Source organism: Homo sapiens, chromosome 6, assembly GCF_000001405.40.
Source record: "Homo sapiens chromosome 6, GRCh38.p14 Primary Assembly".
Taxonomy (NCBI): Eukaryota; Metazoa; Chordata; class Mammalia; order Primates; family Hominidae; genus Homo; species Homo sapiens.
This window is the reverse complement of record NC_000006.12, coordinates 134,785,206-134,805,464: the sequence shown is the minus strand read 5'-3', so window position 1 is coordinate 134,805,464 and position 20,259 is coordinate 134,785,206. Positions and strand designations below refer to the sequence as shown.

The following is a 20,259-nucleotide window of genomic DNA, read 5'->3' as shown; positions in this document are numbered from 1 at the left end:
GGAGAGGGCAGAGGCAGAAATGGGAAGCTTTTTAGGCCAGATGCCAGCTCCAGAATGTGATCATATAAACGCAAGCCCTGTAAATTTAATAAATAACAGGCCTGGTTCTTAGCTCATTGACTTATCTCCAAATGCGCCTCAGACTTTACCCTGGTTATCGGTAGTGGGGGTCGGGGCAGGGGTAGGGATACAAGAGAAAGACAACTGATATCTGGAGATGGATTCAGATCAGATACCTTTGAGAACAGAGATATGGAAAATCTAGGTGGAATGACAGAACTAAATAATGATTTTTTTTTTTTCACATTCAGGGGAGTTGGAACATTGGGCAGGGGAATGTCTCTGGCATTAGAAAAAGAGAGAGCGGGCAGTTGGGGTTTGTTTGGAGCCAGGTTTGGCTTCTCAACCTGCTAAAGGCCAAAAGGATCATAGCCAGAAATGCTTCCCCCCAACACCTCCCCCAGCAGAAGGCTTTTTGAGCTTTGCTGTGGAAATAAGGGGAGGAAAGCTGAGAAAAATGCCTCACCAAAATGAGACTTCTTCTTGGCTTTCTGAAATATCCATGCCAGTTGGCAGGTATGTGAGCTCCTGGTCTGTGCATCCACTAAATTAATGCCTTTAAAGCCACCGCCTTCCGAGGTTTCATTGCCTTGCCTAGGTTGGCAGGGCTGGACGTTTACATTTAGGGCTCTGAATGAAAATGAAAGCATTGGCTGTATTACATTTATTTATTTGTTTGTTTGTTTGTCTCGCTCTGTCGCCCAGGCTGGAGTGCAATGGCATGATTTTGGCTCACTGCAACCTCTGCCTCCTGGGTTCAAGCGATTCTCCTGCCTCAGCCTCCTGATTAGCTGGGATCACAGGCATGCGCCGCCATACCCAGCTAATTTTGTATTTTTAGTAGAGACGGGGTTTCACCATGCTGGTCATGCTGGTCCCGAACTCCTGACCTCAGGTGATCTGCCCGCATTGGCTTCCCAAAATGCTGGGATTACAGGCGTGAGCCACTGTGTTTGGCCTATTTATTTATTTTTTTGAGACTGAGTGTTGCTCTGTTGCCCAGGCTGGAGTGCAATGGCACGAACCCAGCTCACTGCAGCCTCAACCTCCTGGCCTCAAGGGATTCTCCTGCCTTAGCTTCCCGAGTAGCTGGGACTACAGGCATGCACCACCATGCCTGGCTAATTTTTTTTAATTGTCTTGTAGAAATGGGGTCTCACTTTGTTACCCAGGCTGGTCTCAAACTCCTGGGCTCAAGTCATCCTCCTGCCTTGGCCTCCCAAAGTGTTGGGGTTACAGGCATTAGCCACTGCACCTGGCCCAGCTGTGTTACTTTTTGTTACCTGTACAGTACACAGGCCTCCAAGAGAGAACCTCTATACATCTGCATCTCACCTTTATTCCTGCAAAAAGGACATTTTCATTGCCTGGAAGGACCTACATGGAACCTACAAGAGATTGGCCTCAAATCTGGCAAGCAGGCCCCTGAATAAGCTTCATATCATTGAGTAAAGAAAAAAGTCAACTGTTTGTTTTATTCCTTCATTAATATCTACAATGTTTGCATTTTGCCATTCAGGTTTTAAATAAATATACCCAGTGATGGACATTTATGTCAGTCACTTAAATTTTCCTCCGAGTATCTCAAGCCTGTGAAAGGGGCCACAAAGAAAGGCAACTGTTTATCAAGGTCTTTCTTCTCCAATTGTCTCTGACTGTCTCTGATCTGAGATTTGCTGTGATATGAAAAACCAACTCACAGTCATCCAGGGGTGCCGTGCCTCACTTTAAGAGAAAGGAGATGTATTGATCTCCTGAACTCGTGATCCACCCGCCTCGGCTTCCCAGAAGTGCTGGGATTACAGGCATGAGCTCCGTCTCTACTAAAAATACAAAAAGTTAGCCTGGCGTGGTGGCGGAGGCCTGTAGTCCCAGCTACTCGGGAGGCTGAGGCAGGAGAATGGTGTGAACCTGAGAGGCAGAGCTTGCAGTGAGCTGCGATTGCACCACTGTACTCCAGAGTAAGACTGTCTCAAAAAAAAAAAAAAAAAAAGAGAGAGAAAGGAGATGTTAGAGCATTTCCAATAGACATCTTTGCTTTAAAGCTATTCAGGACATATCTGTTCTAAATAAAGCTTTTGCCTTTAGAGATCATTTGCTTGTACTTTTTCATAAACAAGTTTACTTATTGTGTGCTGCTTAGACTCTAGAACTTCTGAGAAGAAAGAGACTGTACAAAAACTCTTTGGTGAATTCTAAGGGCACCCTTGTTGGGGACCTTGTGGCTTAGTAATAAAATCCCCATGGCTCTGATGACAGCATTATCCTGCCCTCCTTTCTGGCCAGACATTTCCATCCTGACAGAGGCTTCTCTGGGAGCCTAGAGCAGGTGAAGTGGGGAGGTGCAGCCAGAGAGCTGAGGTAGTGGTGCAAAGAGTCAGCCCGGCCATGGGCTTCGGCTGTCCTGAGGACTGAGCCTGCATCTACCACAGGCTAGATTTGTAGCCTTGGATAACTTTTTCAACCCCTATGAGTCTAGGTTACCTCACTGGGAAAGTAGACCTGGTCACACATACTTCACATGGTTGTGGTCAAAAGTCAACTTCCCCCTCCCTCTCAATCCCTGGTTTTGCTTGGATAACCCCTCCCTAGCCTGTCTTCCCCAGCTGAGATGTCACTTCTTCCAGAAGCTCTTTCTAACTATCTGGATGAGGATCTCTCCTCCTAAGGGCCCCAACTTGACTTTCTCCTGTCATAGTTCCTTTCGGGCTATCTTATATTAAGTCTCTTGCTCATTAAACTGTGTGAAGACAGGAAACAGGTATGTCTTGTTTGCGATTCCTGGCATTGTTGGCTCTTGCTATTTGTAGAATGGAGTTGAATGGACGCATGTGAAATAACCTAACAAACATGTGGCCTATGGTGGTGATCCCTCTCCTATCCTTGCTCTCTCTTTAACAGGTTACAACTCTAGGCAGATGATTAATACTCTAGTAGTCACTTGCTCACACAGCTGGATTTCTCTTCTGACCAAATCAATACCTAAAGCTAGAACTTTCTGGTTTCTGTGTCTCTATAAGCTCCTGTCTGTATAAAATTCCTTCCTGTTTACATCAAACAGCTTGGTTTTGGAGGTTTTCTGAAACTTTCTTAAAAACTGACCATTTGGGCTGGGCACGGTGGCTCATGCCTGTAATCCCAGCATTTTGGGAGGCCGAGGCGGGCGGACCACCTGAGGTCAGGAGTTCGAGACCAGCCTGGCCAATGTGGTGAAACCCCATCTCTACTAAAAATACAAAAATTAGCTGAGCATGGTGGCGGGTGCCTGTAATCCCGGCTACTTGGGAGGCTGAGGCAGGAGAATTATTTGAACCCAGGAGGCAGAGGTTGCAATGAGCCGAGATTGCACCATTGCACTCCAGCCTGGGAGAAAAGAGTCAAACTCCATCTCAAAACAAACAAACAAACAAAAACCTGACCATTTGATGTGCTCCTCTGAGAGTGCCTGTCTTAGGAACCAAGAAGGAGCTGGTTGTTTGGAGATAAGAACCTGGATAAGTCTGTCACAGTGATGGGAGAGGAGAAGAGAGGAGCAGGGCAGGGGCTGGGGGAGACACCATGTTGGATTGTCGGGGAGACACCATGCAGAGGGGAGGTGAAAATATTTGGCACAAGGGATACTGACCTGGCACTCCTCATACATGTTTGACAAGTGGAAATATTGAAAATAAGATGATATGTGATGGTTCATCACAGCTGTTTTCTTCTGAATAAAAGGGGTGGGACTAGGAAGAGGTAAAATAGGAGAGTTGTGATCAGAGGGAAGTGAAAAACATTGCTCTACCACCATTTGGCCTTAAAACCAAATGGGACCTGTGCTGGAATAAGAGTGGTGCTTATTTTTACCATACTGCTTGGCCTCACCTGGGCCTGCCCATTCTTGTCACCTGGTTCCCATGGCTGCAAAACTTGGCTGGGTTGGAAGAGTTCAGAGTCAGATCTATTGTCAATTCTAAAGTTATACTGATCTTCTTTAATAGTAATGATTAACTTCATGGCTAACTATCACTGAGAGATGAAAATTCAAGTAATTCTCAGGCTAGTAAGGTAATCCCTACCTTTCACTGTGGATTGCTGGGAAAATTCAGTGAGGAAAGGTAAAGGGAAAAATGTAGATAAGTCAAAATGCCCTCAGAGGATGGGAAATGGAGGAGTTTCCCTGTTGCTGCAATTAATAAACACCACCTACACTAAGATGTACGTGTTAAGAAATGGTAGAAGTTGAGAAGCAACTTTCAGGTTTCAGTGACCTGGATTTAAGTGAGCAGTGGCTGAGGGTTGGGTGGCGGGTACTCAGTTGTTGACTGCGTATAAGCAAAGTGGCTTCATTTGGCAATGTGCCCCTTCACTCCCTGATATAAAAGCATAAAGGAAACAGCTTTCCTTAGCTTTCTTCACTCATGTTTCCCATATACTTGTTTCTATCTCTGTTTTTGGTTGTTGTCTCACCAGTTTTACATGTACTGCCAAGTTAACTGATTTTCTTATATTTATTTGTGTATTCCAAGGACTGTGGCCACCCCCATCCCAATATTCATTGTTATTCTCTCACCTTCACTGACTCAGTACAATTCCCTACCCTGTACTCGTTGAGATGTCTCCTTTAGAGGCTTGCCTCTCTGTGCTTAAGGCATTACATCTGGTTTCCAATGCAAATACTTTCAGTGACCAACACCTCTAGCTCATTTCACTCATCTTCACCATAAATGAGCATGCTGGATAACCCAGGTCTGCATACAGAGAGAAAGGATGGGGACGAAGGGAAAGGGGAAGGTGATCGGAGACCCTGGAATTCTTCATATGACAGGTGCAGGGCAGAGTGGGCAGAACATGGTGTGCTCAGCATAAGAACTGGGTGCCAGAGGTGACCTGAAGCTTGGTCAGAGAGTACTGAGTGGGAAAATGTGGGCCAGCCTAGCAGGAAGTGACTCTGCCTTGCTGTCACCCCTGTGGACGGCCCTTCTCCTTTGCATTGGGAAGGGTTAAATGAACATTGCTTGTCTGACGACCTAGCTGCATTGTTTATCCTCCTGTGTTGAGAAAAATGTTCTTATGCCTTTGATCACTGCATCTTTTTCAAAAATACATTACTTAAAATGTTGAAGAGGTGTCTTCAGTTCAAGGGGATTCTGATTTATTTATACTTGAAAAACAATCCAAAGGGGAAAAATGTCAAGGTTCCCTGTGTAGAGATGAAGACAGGAAAGCAGGAAAATACGATGGATGTCTTCTAAAGGAATATCCCACGTGATCCTGCAGCTCTCCACAGTTCTGGCTGTAAGGAGATAGATAATGAGGAGAGAGAAGATTTAAGAAGAGAAAAAAGATCAGAGGGAAAAGTCCATGCCATAGACCAGGGTGGGCACAATCCCAAAACAAAAATGCAATTGTCCCATGTACTGGGATATGTTGGATATGATTTCATTGAGAGGCCTAATGTCCCATAAAGTCCTGTAGCTCCTATAGGTTGGGCTTTGCATCCTAGACAACTGCCTTGTTGTCATTTCTTAGTGTTATGGACTAAGGAATGACAGCATTCTGCATTCCTTAGCATCATACAAAGGTTTGTTCATATTCATTGTTTACCAATTAGTGGTAAATGCACTAATTGCTTATGAAATCAAAACACACCTTTCTAAATAAAATATTCTAACCAATGTATGATAAAGAATATAACTAAAAGAGTTTAAAATATAAATGAGAATTAGGTTCAAATCTCTCTGTTTCCACCATTTGGATTAAGGGTGAGGTAGGCATCATGAAGCTTGTTATTGTATTCCCCAAGTTAAATTTTCATTTCTTCAGTCAACAAATATTTATTATGTGGGTAAGGGCCTGACACAGTACAAGGCACAGCGGTGTGCAAGCTGGACCCTGTGTTTACCCTGGACCCTGTGTTCACCCTTTTGTCACATATGTCCTGTTGGATGAGACAGGCATTGATTAAATAATCACACAAGTCTGTGATTACAAATGGGAGAATGAGCTATGAAGGGAGGTGCTATCCACTTATTTACTTCGCTGCAGAAACAGGTGCTGATGTTTCAGCAATGCCAGCCCTGAATGGAAAAGGCTGGGCTCTGAGGAGACCTACATCTAATGGTTACTCTTTTTGCTGCAAAGTTGGAAAGAGGAATGAGGATGAACTGAATTGCTGAAGACCTGATTGGACAGTAAGAATTTTATTACACTCAGGGCAATATTCTTTTGGCTAATAAAGCTGCTACTGGAATAAAGAAGTATTCCTCTTCTTGGGTCGCTGAGTGTTCAAGTTAAACTGACATTACTTTGGCTACAAATCTATCAGGTTGAGGCATTTTTAAGATCCATCCTTGCAGAAAAATTAGCTTTACAAAGGCTCCACAGAATTTCAGATGATATTAAACTACTTTCCATTCATTAAGTATAATATTTAATGCATTGAAATAAGCACTAGTGATAAAAATTTAATTAAGATAATTAGTGTCACAGCCAAAATAAAAATATATAATTAACACTGAAGTGACTATAAAAACATATTTTGACACTTCAGTGGGATTTTAAAAAATGTCTTCAATAAATTCTCATGAAATTAGATTTCCAAATTTATGGCAAAATGATACTTTATTTTTTGAGATGGAGTCTTCTTCTGTGTCCCAGGCTGGAGTGCAGTGGCATGATCTTGGCTCACTGCAACCTCTGCCTCCTGGGTTCATGCAATTCTCCTACCCTAGCCTCCCAAGTAGCTGGGATTATAGGTGCCTGCCACCACACCCAGCTAATTTTTGTAGTCTTAGTAGAGACAGGTTTCCCCATGTTGGCCAGGCTGGTCTCGAACTCCTGACCTCAAGTGATCCACTTGCCTCAGCCTCCCAAAGTGCTGGGATTACAGGTGTGAGCCACCACACCTGGCCCTGCAAAATGATACATTCTAAGTATATATAATTGATGAAATATTTTGCTTAAGTGCCAGAGTTTATACAGTAACTTTACTATAAATTCAAGTGGCCATCTGGAATTTTTCATACCTAAAACAAATACCAGAAAGTTAATTTGAAGGCTAAAATCTATTGCTTCCTTTATGATCATATTCTCATAGAATTTTAGAAATTTAAATTTGTTATGTCTATATTTATAATTAATTGTTACCCCATGTCAGTTTTCCTATTTGGACTGTTAAAACTTTATTTTCTCTTTCTCCTGATGTAAGACCCCCATGCCTGCTACATCTTCACTGTTTACCATCCCCTTTTGGGACTTCATGCACTCATCCGAATAACTTGATTTCAAAGGTCTTCAAAGTATTAACGCAGTAAAGGAATTTTGTAATTTATTCCAGTGACAGAGTCTTTACAGATATTTCTGTCTGTAAGGGGCATTAGTTTAGCACTCAAATGAGGACTTAAGTCATAGCCACACGTGTCAGACTGGGCTCATTGAGTAACGTCTCATGGTTCTGTTTTAATAACTTCTTGGCCTTAGTAGATTTACGCTGGCCAGGCTGACGTTTTATTTATAGCCCGAGACATTTACACTAAGCCAGAAGGTCTGGACATTCTCAGGAGGCCATCAGTCACTCTAGTGACTAGGACAAGTTTGACAATGTCTGTCATCTTTCACGTTATCCAATCTCTAGTCTGTATATAAAGAAAGGAATGACTTGCTTTGTAAAAGATGAAAGGCGAAGGTGGTTTCTAATCATATAAGTAAGAACAGGTTATAAGGATTTGGCCTTAAAATGGGATCTGGTTTCTTTAGTCACAGACCATGGCTATGAATTTTCTTTCTGTTGCAGTTTGACAAAGTGTTAGATAAGCTGTCAACAGTAGGCCTTTTCTCCTCAAAGAGTTTGTACATGCTTACCAGCAAGTCCTGGGTTCTAGAATTCTGGGTCCATCTACTACTCCCTTCCCAAGCCAGTTCCCAGCTTTGGAAATACACATACCTATACTCATCACCAAATATGAAATTGATTCAGAGGAATGAATTGAATTGACAGAAATATAGATATATTGTTTCTGTTTTATTTTATTTTATTTTATTTTTTTTTGAGGCAGGGTCTGTCTCTGTTGCCCAGGTTGGAGTGCATTGGCACAGTCTCAGCTCACTGCAACCTCTGCCTCCCAAGTGATCCTCCTGCCTCAGTCTCCTGAGTAGCTGGGACTATAGGCAGGTGCCACCATGCCCAGCTAAGTTTTGTATTTTTTTTGGGGTAGAGATGGGGTTTTACCATGTTGCCCAGACTGGTCTTGAACTCCTGGGCTCAAGCAATCAGCCTGCCTCAGCCTCCCAAAGTATTAGGATTACAGGTGTGAGCCACCGCCTCCAGTTATTTATTTCTATTTTTTATTTGTAGTAGTGCTTTTGCCTATTATTGAAAGAAGCCACAAGAAATAGCCAATTAAGAGCCCTCCCCAACTAATATTAGGGGGGAGTCATCCATCATAATCCTCAGCATCAGATGGATAAATACTGAAAATATTTTGCTTTGTTTGGGAAACCAGGGCTTTTCTTCTGATGAACAATGTGGGGAAACAATGACATTGACAATATTTCCATTTTTACTTTGGGTCACAGGGAACTCAGACAATTTGCAAACCAACCTTTGTTATCTCTCTGGGCCTTTTGGCTTATGGAGTCCTATTTTTTCTGCCTCTGATTCTAACAATATAGTCTGATTTATATCTTTCTTGGTGTTCATTTTTATTGTACTCTTTTGTGTATATATTACTTTTAATGTCACCTCAGAACCTTTGTGATTTAAGAAAGATTATCAATCAATAAGTAAGTAAGAAAAGGAGTTTCCAATCATTCTCCTAAGTCCCATTTTCTGACACCATTTCTTTTTTTTTTAATAATTGTATATATTTATGGGGTACATGTGCAATTTTGTTACATGCATAGATTGTGTAGTGGTCAAGTCAGGGCTTTAAGATATTAGGCCGGGCACAGTGGTTCACGCCTATAATTCCAGCACTTTGGGAGGCCGAGGTGGGTGGATCACGAGGTCAGGAGTTCGAGACCAGCCTGGCCAACATAGTGAAACCCCTTCTCTACTAAAAATACAAAAATTAGCCAGGCGTGGTGGCACACACCCGTAGTCCCAGGAAGCTGAGGCAGGAGAATCACTTGAACCCGGGAGGCAGAGGTTGCAGTGAGCCGAGATTGTGCCACTGCACTCCCGCTTGGGTGACAGAGAGAGACTTCATCTAAAAAAAAAAAAAAAAAAAATCCTTCCCCTGAATAATGTACATTGTACCCATTAAGTAATTTCTCATCACCCAACCTCTTCCCACCCCCTCCCATTCCCTCTCACTTTGATGCCTCCATTGTCTATCAATCTACTGTCTTTATCCACATGTGTACATTTTTTAGACCTACTTATGAGTGAGAACATGTAGTATTTGACTTTCTAGTGACACCATTTCTTACAAATGGTCAGGTCCTATGTGTTTTTGGATCAGTATGTCAGGAGGAGGAGGCTGGGAGGAAAAAGTTGGATTTCCTTGAAGTTGGCTTCTCTTGACACCTCCCACTGTTTAAAGAGTCAGCTCATTGTCTCAGAGCCAAACTGCTGAGATTCTCAGAGCCATTCCTCATTCTCTTGGAAGTAAAGGGATTCATGTTTGAAAGAGGCAATTTATCTCTAAAGGGGAAGCAAAAAGACCTAACTTGTGTAGTATAAAATCTTGGGAAGTTTTAGGATTATTTCACATTCCTATTTCTACCGGCAACCAAATTCAAAAAGTATGTTTTGTTGAAAATAAGGTCAGACTTATTTTCATTGTTTTGTATCTTTGGTAGAGTTCCAGTTTCTTTTTTCTTTTTTTTTTTTTTGAGACAGAGTCCTGCTCTGTCACCAGGCTAGAGTGCAGTGGCGCGATCTTGGCTCACTGCAACCTCCGCCTCCTGGGTTCAAGCAATTCTTCTGCCTCAGCCTCCTGAGTAGCTGGGATTACAGGCATGTACCACCACGCCCAGCTAATTTTGTATTTTTAGTAGAGACGAGGTTTCACCATGATGGCCAGGATGGTCTCAGTCTCTTGACCTCGCGATCCACCTGCCTCAGCTTCCCAAAGTGTGGGGATTACAGGTGTGAGCCACCGCGCCCAGCCGAGTTCTAGGTTTTACAACGTAAAAGCAACTGAAAGTATATTGGGTTAAGTGACACCCTTGAATGTGCCAAATTCCAGGGCAGCCTCTCTTTTGCCTGCGGAAGTCCCTACTCAACCTTGAGTATCTTGGAGCCCCTCCCCCACTCCATTCCCAGGGCCTGTTGCCTCAAATAGCAAAAAACACAATGACAGGTTGAAGAGACACTACAGAAGAAAGGAGAAAGTGTTATATTTTACTAGTCTTGAAGGCACTTTTTCCCCCTGCTTGATAAACATGGGGCCCTATATTTTCATTTTGCACTGGGCCCCACAGATTACGTAGCTGGCCAGGCCTGAGAACTTATAAGAAAATGCTATCTACAGCCAGTGACCCATCAGCCCTGTATAATCATCCTACTGAAAAAGACCTAAAAAATCAAGAGCAGAAACTTTAATTAATTAATTAATTAATTTTTTGAGGCAGAATCTCACCCTGTTACTAGGCTGGAGTGCAGTGGCACGATCTTGGCTCACTGCAACCTCTGTCTCCCAGGTTCAAGTGATTCTCCTGCCTCAGCCTCCCAGGTAGCTGGGACTACAGGTGCCTGCCATCATGGCCAGCTAATTTTTGTATTTTTAGTAGAGACGGGGTTTCACCATGTTGGCCAGGATGGTCTTGATCTCTTGACCTCATGATCCACCCTCCTTGGCCTCCCAAAGTGCTGGGATTACAGGCATGAGCTACCACACCTGGCCATAAATGTCGTCTTTTGAGAAATGTCTATTCATGCCCTTTGCCCATTTTTTTTTAAATAGGATTGTTTGTTTTTTCTTAAATTTGTTTAAGTTTCTTGTAGATTCTGGATATTAGACTTTTGTCAGATGGATAGATTGCAAAAGTTTTCTCCCATTCTATAGGTTGTCCGTTCACTCTGATAATAGTTTCTTTTGCTGTGCAGAAGCTCTTTGGTTTAATTAGATCCGATTTCTCAATTTTTTGCTTTTGATGCAATTGCTTTTGACATTTTCGTCATGAAATCTTTGCCTGTGCCTATGTCCTGAATGGTATTGCCTAGATTTTCTTCTAGGGCTTTTATAGTTTTGGGTTTTACATTTGAGTCTTTAATCCATCTTGAGTTAATTTTTGTATATGGTGTAACAAAGGGATCCAGTTTCCATTTTCTGCATATGGCTAGCCAGTTCTCCCAGGACCATTTATTAAATAGGGAATGCTTTCCCCATTGCTTGTTTCTGTCAGATTTGTCAAAGATCAGATAGTTGTAGATGCTCAGACTTATTTCTGAGTTCTCTATTCTGTTCCTTTGGTCTATGTTTCTGTTTTTGTACCAGTGTCCTGCTGTTTTGGTTACTGTAGCCTTGTAGTATAGTCTGAAATTGGGTAGCATGATACCTCCAGCTTTGTTCTTTTTGCTTAGGATTGTCTTGGCTATATGGGCTCTTTTTTGTTTCCATATAAATTTTAAAATAGTTTTTTCTAATTCTGTGAAGAATGTCAATGGTAGTTTAAGGGGAATAGCATTGAATCTATAAATTACTTTGGGCAGTATGGCCATTTTCATGATATTGATCCTTCCTATCCATCAGCTTGGAATGTTTTTGCATTTGTTTGTGTCCTCTCTTATTTCCTTGGAGCAGTGGTTTGTAGTTCTCCTTGAAGAAGTCCTTCACTTCCCTTGTTAGCTGTATTCCTAGGTATTTTATTCTCTTTGTAGCAATCGTGAATGGGAGTTCATTCGTGATTTGGCTCTCTACTTGTCTGCTGTTGGTGTATAGAAATGCTTGTGATTTTTGCACACTGATTTTGTATCCTGAGACTTTGCCGAAGTTGCTTATCAGCTTAAGAAGCTTTTGGGCTGAGATGATGGGGTTTTCTAGATATAGGATCATGTCATCTGCAAACAAAGACAATTTGCTTTCCTCTCTTCCTATTTGAATATGCTTTATTTCTTGCTCTTCTTGATTGCTCTAGCCAGAACTTTCTGATACTATGTTAAATAGGAGTGGTGAGGGAGGGCATCCTTGTCTTGTGCTGGTTTTCAAATGGAATGCTTCCAGCTTTTGCCCATTCAGTATGGTATTGGCTGTCAATTTGTCATAAATTGCTATTATTTTGAGATATGTTCCCTCAATATCTAGTTTATTGAGAGTTTTTAACATGAAGGGATGTTGAATTTTATTGAAGACCTTTTCTGCATCTATTGAGATAATCATGTGGTTTTGTCTCTAGTTCTGTTTATGTGATGACTTACATTTATTGATTTGCATAGGTTGAACAAGCCTTGCATCCTGGGGATGAAGCTGGCTTGATTGTGGTGGATAAGCTTTTTGATGTGCTGCTGGATTTGTTTGGCCGGAATTTTATTGAGGATTTTCGCTTTGATGTTCATCAGGGATATTGGCCTGAAGTTTTCTTTTTTTGTTGTATCTCTTCCATGTTTTGGTATCAGGATGATGCTGGCCTCATAAAATGAGTTAGAGAGGAGGCCCTCCTTTTCAATTGTTTGGAATTGTTTAATAAGAAATGGTACAAACTCCTATTTGTGCCTCTGGTAGAATTCAGCTGTACATCCACCTGGTCCCGGGCTGCTTTTTTGGTTGTTAGGCTATTTATTACTGCTTCAATTTCAGAACTCATTATTGGTCTATTCAGGAATTCAACTTCTTCCTGGTTTAGTCTTGGGGGATTTATGTGTCCAGGAATTTATCCATTTCTTCTAGATTTTCTAGTTTACTTGTGTAGAGGTGTTTATAGTATTCTCTGATGGTTGTTTGTATTTCTGTGGGGTCAGTGGTGATATTCCCTTAATCATTTCTTATTGTGTCTATTCTGCTCTCTTTTCTTCTTTATTAGTCTAGTTAGTGGTCTATCTATTTTATTAATTTTTTCAAATAAACAGTTCCTGGATTCGATAATTTTTTGAAGGGTTTTTTTGGTCTCTAGCTCCTTCATTTCCTGTTCTGGTCTTGGTTATTTCTTCTGCTAGTTTTGGATTTGTTTTCTCTTGGTTCTCTAGTTCTTTTAGTTGAGATGTTAGGTTGTTAACTTGAGATCTTTCTAGCTTTTTGATGTGGGCATTTAGTACTATAAATTTCCCTCTTACTACTGCTTTAGCTGCATCCCAGAGATTCTGGTATGCTGTCTCTTTGTTCTCATTAGTTTTAAAGAACTTAATTTCTGCCTTAATTTCATTATTTACCCAGGAGTCATTCAGGGTTAGGTTGGTCAATTTCCATGTAGTTGTGTGGTTTTCCTTATCTTGAGTTCTAATTAGATTGTGCTGTGGTCTGAGACTGACATGATTTCAGTTCTTTTGCATTTGCTGAGAAGTATTTTACTTCCAATTATGTGATCAATTTTAGAGTAAATGCCATGTGGTGCTGAGAAGAATGTACATACTGTTGTTTTTTGGGTGGAGACTTCTGTAGATATCTATCAGGTCCACTTGATCCAGAGTTCAAGTCCTGAATATTTTTGTTAATTTTCTGTCTTGATGATCTGTCTAATATTGACAGTGTGGTGTTAAAGTCTCCTATTATTATTTTGTGAGAGTCTAAGTCTCTTTGTAGGTCTCTAAGAACTTGTTTTATGAATCTGGGTGCTCCTATTTGGGTGTATATATATATTTAGGATAGTTAGATCTTCTTGTTGAGTTGACCCTTCTACCATTACATAATACCCTTATTTGTCTTTTTTGATCTTTGTTGGTTTAAAGTCTCTTTTGTTGGAAACTAGGATTGCAACTCCTGCTTTTTTCTGCTTCCCTTTTGCTTGGCAAATTTTCCTCCATTCCTTTATTTTGAGCCTATGTGTGTCTTTGCATGTGAGATGGGTCTCTTGAATACAGCACACGTATGGGTCTTGACTCTTTATCCAGCTTGCCATTCTGTGGTCTTTTAATTAGCGTATTTAGCCCATTTCCATTTAAGGTTAATATTGTTATGTGTGAAATTGATTTTGTCATCATTATGCTAGCTAGTTATTTTGCAGACTTGTTAATGTAGTTGCTTCATAGTGTCATTGGTCTGTATACTCAGTGTGTTTTTTGTAGTGTCTGGTAACAGTTTTTTCTTTCCACATTTAGTGCTTCCTTTAAGAGCACTCACAAGACAGGCCTGGTGGTGTTGAATTCCCTCAGCAGTTGCTTGTCAGAAAAGGATTTTATTTCTCCTTCACTTATGAAGCTTAGTTTGGCTGGACATGAAATTCTGGGTTGGAAATTTCTTTAAGAATGTTGAATACCAACCCCCCAATCTCTTTGGGCTCGTAGGGTTTCTGCTGAGAGGTCGACTGTTGGTCTGATGGACTTCCCTTTGTAGGTGACCTGACCTTTCTTTCTGGCTGCACTTAACATTTTTTTCCTTCATTTCAACCTGAGAGAATCTGATGATTATGTGTCTTGGGGTTGATCTTCTCATGGAGTATCTTACTGGGGTTCTCTGGATTTTCTGAAATTTGAATGTTGGCCTGTATTGCTAGGTTGGGAAGTTCTCCTGGATGATATCCTGAAGCATGTTTTCCAACTTTGTTCTGTCTCCCCATCTCAGGTACCCCAGTCAGTCATAGGTTAGGTCTTTTTACATAATCCCATAGTTCTCAGAGGTTTTTTTTGTTCCTTTTCATTCTTTTTTCTCTAATCTCGTCTCCCTGTCTTATTTCAGCAAGATAGTCTTCAAGCTCTGAGATTCTTTCCTCTGCTTGGTCTATTTGACTATCAATACTTGTGGTTGCATTGTGAAGTTCTCATATTGTGTTTTTCAGCTCCATCAGGTCATTTATGTTTCTCTTTAAACTGGTTTTTCTGGTTAACACATCCTATAATGTTTTATCATGGATCTTAGCTTCTTTGCATTGGGTTAGAATATACTCCCTTAGGTCAGCGAAGTTTGTTACTACCCACTTTCTGGTGCCTACGTCTATCAGTTCATCCATCTCAGCCTCAGCCCAGTTCTGTGCCCTTGCTGGGGAGGTGTTATGATCATTTGGAGGAGAAAAGGCACTCTGGCTTTTTGAGTTTTCAGTGTTTTTATGTTGATTCTTTCTCATCTTTGTGAACTTATCTACCTTCAATCTTTGAGGCTGCTGACCTTTGGATGGGGTTTTTGTGGGGTCTTTTTTGTTGACGTTGTTGCTTTCTGTTTGTTTTTCTAACAGTCAGGCCCCTTTTCCATTGGGCTGCTGTGGTTTGCTGGGGGTCCACTCCAGAACCTATTCACCTGGGTCCCTCCCACACCTGGAGGTGTCACCAGTGGAGGCTGGAGAACAGCAAAGATGGCTGTCTGCTCCTGCCTCTGGGAACTCTGTCCCAGAGGGGTACAAACCTGATGCTGGCTAGAACATATATGAGGTGTCTGGTGACCCCTGTTGGGCGGGGGGGTCTCACCCAGTCAGGAGGCACGGGATTAGGGACCCACTTAATAAAGCACTCTGTCTGCCCCTCTAGGGAGCAGGTGCACTGCACTGGGGGGATTCCCCTCCTCCAGACTGCCCAGGTGGCAAAGACTAAGTCCCCTGAACCATGGAGACCATGGCCACCTCTCCCATCAGGGGCTGTGTCCCAGAGACATCAGAGTTCTGTCTGTAAACCCCTAGCTGGAGTTGCTGAAACTCCTGCAGGGAGACCCTGCTTGGTGAGGAGGGATGGATCCGGGTCCCACCTAAAGAAGCAGTCTGGCCACGATCTGCCACAGCCATTGTGCTATGTTGTGGGGATTCCTCCTGGTCCAAACTGCCTGGTCTCCCTGGCACCAGCAGGGGAAAACGGCCAACTGGAGCTGCATTGATTTTGGTTGACCCTATCCCTAGGAACTCAGTTGTCTTAAGCAGTCTCGCCCCTGCTGCTGCTGGCCACAACCCGAGCGGCTGCTGAGGGTCTTCACAGCTCTGTGCTTGGGACCCAAGGGCCTGGTGGTGGGGGCTCAGGAGGGGATCTGATCCACAGGTTGCACAGATCCATGGAAAAAGTGTGGTTTCCCCAGATGGGGTAGCACAATCACTCAGCACCTCCTTGGCTGGGGTGGGAGCTCCCCTTGCCCCATGCAAATCCCAGGTGGGCTGTCACTCTACCCTGCTTTTCCTTGCTCTCCGTGGGTCACACCAACTGCCTAGTCAGTCCCAATGAGAGAACCTGGATACCTCAGTTGAAAGTGCAGGATTCACTCACTCACTGCATTCTTCCTGGTAGGAGCCACTGACCTCAGCTGCTTCTAATCAGCCATCTTGACCCCTCCCAATAAATATATTTTAGATGTAATTTTACTGGTTTCTTTTTTACTCTTAATAAGGATATTAGAAACCTTTATATTAAGTAGTGGCTTGCATTTGTGACTCATATTTGTGCCTCACATTATATGTATATTTATTATACACTTATACATTATATATACATTCTATATATTTATTTACTTATTATTTATTTATTTTTATTTTCTTAAGATAGAGTCTCTCTGTCACCTAGGCTGGAGTACAGTGGCGCCATCTCGGCTCACTGCAACCTCCACCTTGTGGGCTCAAGTGATCCTCCTGCCTCAGCCTCCTGAGTAGCTGGGACTATAGGCACGTCACCATGCGTGGCTAATTTTTTGTATTTTTTTCTAGAGACAAGGTTTTGCCATGTTGCCAGGCCGGTCTTGAACTCCTGAACTCAAGTGACTCACCTGCCTCAGCCTCCCAATGTGTTGGGATTACAGGTGTGAGGCACCACAGCCAGTCACACATTATATTTGTATTGGACAGCACTGGCCACATCCCTTTTCTACTTATTTTTCCATCTATGCTCATTATTTTCTGTCTCATTCTTTCAGGAACAGTTTAAGTGATTAATATATTAAAATTGCCAATGATTCAGAATAAAGTACATGTCAATCTAGTAAGGCATCATGTTACCACTTCTAGTTAACACTGAATTTTAACTGGGATCCTTAATACCTTATTCTATTGCAACGTTCTCTAAGTTTAGCTTACATCAATATCCCCTGGAGGGCTTGTTAAAAATGCAGATCAGATTGCTGGATCCTGCTCCTAAACTGTCTGATTCCATTGGTCCGAGGTGGGGCCAAAAATTTTATTTCCAGTAAGCTGGTGATGCTAATGCTGGTTTGAGATCCATGCTATGACAATTGCTGTTCTCGTGACTTTCAACCATGGCCGCACATCATAATCACCTGAGTACTCTCAAAAAATTACCTATGAGTGCCTAAGCCTCACCTCCAGAGACTGTAATTTAATTGGTTGGGATGGGGTTTGGACAATAACATTTTTAAAAGCTCCCCAGGTAAGCCTATCATGCAGCAGGATTGAGAATACATGCCTTAATTCAAAAGCAGTAATAAGTGGAAATTATAGGTATTGGGACAAGGCCAGACTAGAGATGCTTTTCTTTACTCTTTTTTGAGGGAGGAGGTGTTTAGTCTTTACCATAACCTGGTAGGCAAATAGGTTGATTTGCACTTTTAATTTCATAGTAATGAAGCTGAGGTTAAGGAAAATACAGTGATTTGCATTGCACAGGAAGATAACAGAAGCTCTATGCTCTCTCTTCCTTATTTTCCAACATTCCTGATAAACCCCTGATATGCAAGAAGGTCAGGACCTGGGCATTTCAGGTTTCTCTTTCGTGTTCCCTTGTGTGGCTCACACCTTTCAGGGCCTTTTGAAACGCATGGCTCTGTCTGAGTTCTGCAGAAATATCTGATTTACTTCAGGGAAGCTTGGCATCAAATGAAGTTACCGTTTTTACTTGCCAGTCTGGTGTGTTTGTCAAGAAGATGCATTTTAAAAATAATTTAATCTCTTGTGTTTGCCTTCAAGCATGGAGAAACATGAATATAAATTCAGATTAATGATGAATCATTAGCTTAGCATAGCCTTGACTTTACTGACTCACCCAGTGTATGACTCGTGTCGTTGGATTTACATTGTTTGAAGATGGATTGCTGTGGCTTATGGAGGTGTTGTATGTTCTTAATGTTTGAAAACCATTGTTTACAGTTTATAAAAATTAAAAAGGCAATACAAATGGTTAATAATGAAATACCGCTATTGTGTGTAGGTATACGTTAACTCTGGCGAGAGAAAGGCTGTAGTTAAAGTTATGGCAGTTCTTAAGGTTTACTTGAGGGTAGAGTAAGTCCTTCATCTTGACTAGATCAATAATATATTTTTTTCTCAACAAATATGACTGATGTACATGAACAGCCATCCCCAGGATGTGTATTCTGAGTTGCTTCTCAATAGTTTGGATGAGTTTGAATGATGGTTCACTTCTCCTTGCTTTTTTGGCCACTTGTCATTCTCAAGGTGACTGTGAAGATTAAGAATGTGAGCATTTTGGCCGGGTGTGGTGGCTCACGTCTGTAATCCCAGGACTTTGGGAGGCCGAGGCAGGCGGATCACAAGGTCAGGAGATCGAGACCATCCTGGCTAACACGGTGAAACCCCGCCTCTATTAAAAATACAAAAAATTAGCCGGGCGTGGTGGCAGGCGTCTGCAGTCCCAGCTACTCAAGAGGCTGAAGCAGGAGAACGGCATGAACCCGCGAAGCTGAGCTTGCAGTGAGCCGAGATCACACCACTACACTCCAGCCTGGGTGACAGAGCGAGACTCCGTCTCAAAAAAAAAAGGCATTTTTTAGGCCAGACACGGTGGCTCATGCCTATAATCCTAGCCCTCTGGGAGGCTGAGGTGGGAGGGTTGCTTGAGACCAAGAGTTCAAGACAAACCCGGCCAACATAGCAAGACCCCACCTCATGAAAGAAAAAAAAGAATGCAAACATTTTAAAATTAAAATTTCTTTCGTTTATTTCTTGAGTTTTAGCTTAGATTACAGGGGTTGTGCTAGTTCTCAATACTTAAAAACATTTTTAGGCCAGGTGTGGTGGCTCATGCCTGTAATCCCAGTACTTTGGGAGGCTGAGGTGGGTGGATCATGAGGTCAGGAGATTGAGACCATCCTGGCCCACATGGTGAAACCTCGTCTCTATTAAAAATGCAAAAAATTAGCCAGGCGTGGTGGCAGGCGCCTGTAGTCCCAGCTATTTAGGAGGCTGAGGAAGGAGAATCACTTGAACCCAGGAGGCGGAGGCTGCAGTGAGCCGAGATTGCACCACTGTACTCCAGCCTGGTGACAGAGCGAGACTCCGTCTCAAAAAAAAAAAAAAAATGTTATTTTCTCTTCTCCCATAGATATATACAAATTAATTTCCATGTTTTCTGGGTTCTAAATTTAATATCACACCATTCAATTGCCTGTCATTTTTTCTAGCAGAGATAAGACATAGACTTGGAGCCAGGCACACTTGCTTATAGGTTGCTATAGCTGTGGTGCCACTCGGGACTTTGTTCTTCAGAACAATGACCACCTTTTACCTTGGTTATTACTCAAAATGCATTGAGAAGATATCTTCACTAACCAACGGTAGGCTAGATGGATGATAGAAATCAATCTTTTAAGTCAAGGCATCCAAGGTAGTATGCTGATAATTTTAACAACAACCATTAAAATGACCAGAAATAAATATTCTTTTCTGGGGACAACTTAAGGAAATAAAGATGTTTTAAAATACCTGACCTTTCCAAATGTTAGTGATGCACAGGAAATGAAACTGATTTGGGAATCTAAAATAAGCATCCTAATGAAGTAACGCAAAAAGTACCATCTCTAATATAATGGGTAAATAAAATCTCTGAATACTCATTTCAATCCATAATATCCTCTCTTGACACACTGTTTCACGAAGTTAATAAAAACTATGGGAATGGTAGGTTTGAATTTTGTCCCTCTTTTATCCCTAAATTTTAATTGGTGAAGGTGCTATTGATCAGCAACATGTTTAAAAGGACTCTAGTAGTTATGCAAAGAGCCCACATGTTTTTTTAAAAAATGTGTAATTGAGTTTAGCTGAAAGAATGGAGTGTTAAAAGACTTGGCAGACATCATCAAACCAACTCAATGTAAATAATTTGTGAATAACAGTAGGTCTGCTAAAACAATCTGGAAAATTTATAAAATCTGTCTAAGACAGACATAACTTTATACACCAGCAGATATCTTTAGTTTTCCCCAGAATGCCGTTTGGTGTATATGTCTTCTGGTCTGTAGTAGACAG

The 20,259-nt window shown here is 41.8% G+C and overlaps 1 long non-coding RNA gene across 2 annotated transcripts in view; it reads left to right on the top strand.

Annotated features, from left to right (window-relative positions):
* LOC101928277 (uncharacterized) overlaps positions 1-20,259 on the top strand; it is a 205,476-nt gene that overhangs the window by 73,900 nt on the left and 111,317 nt on the right. The window lies entirely within an intron of this gene.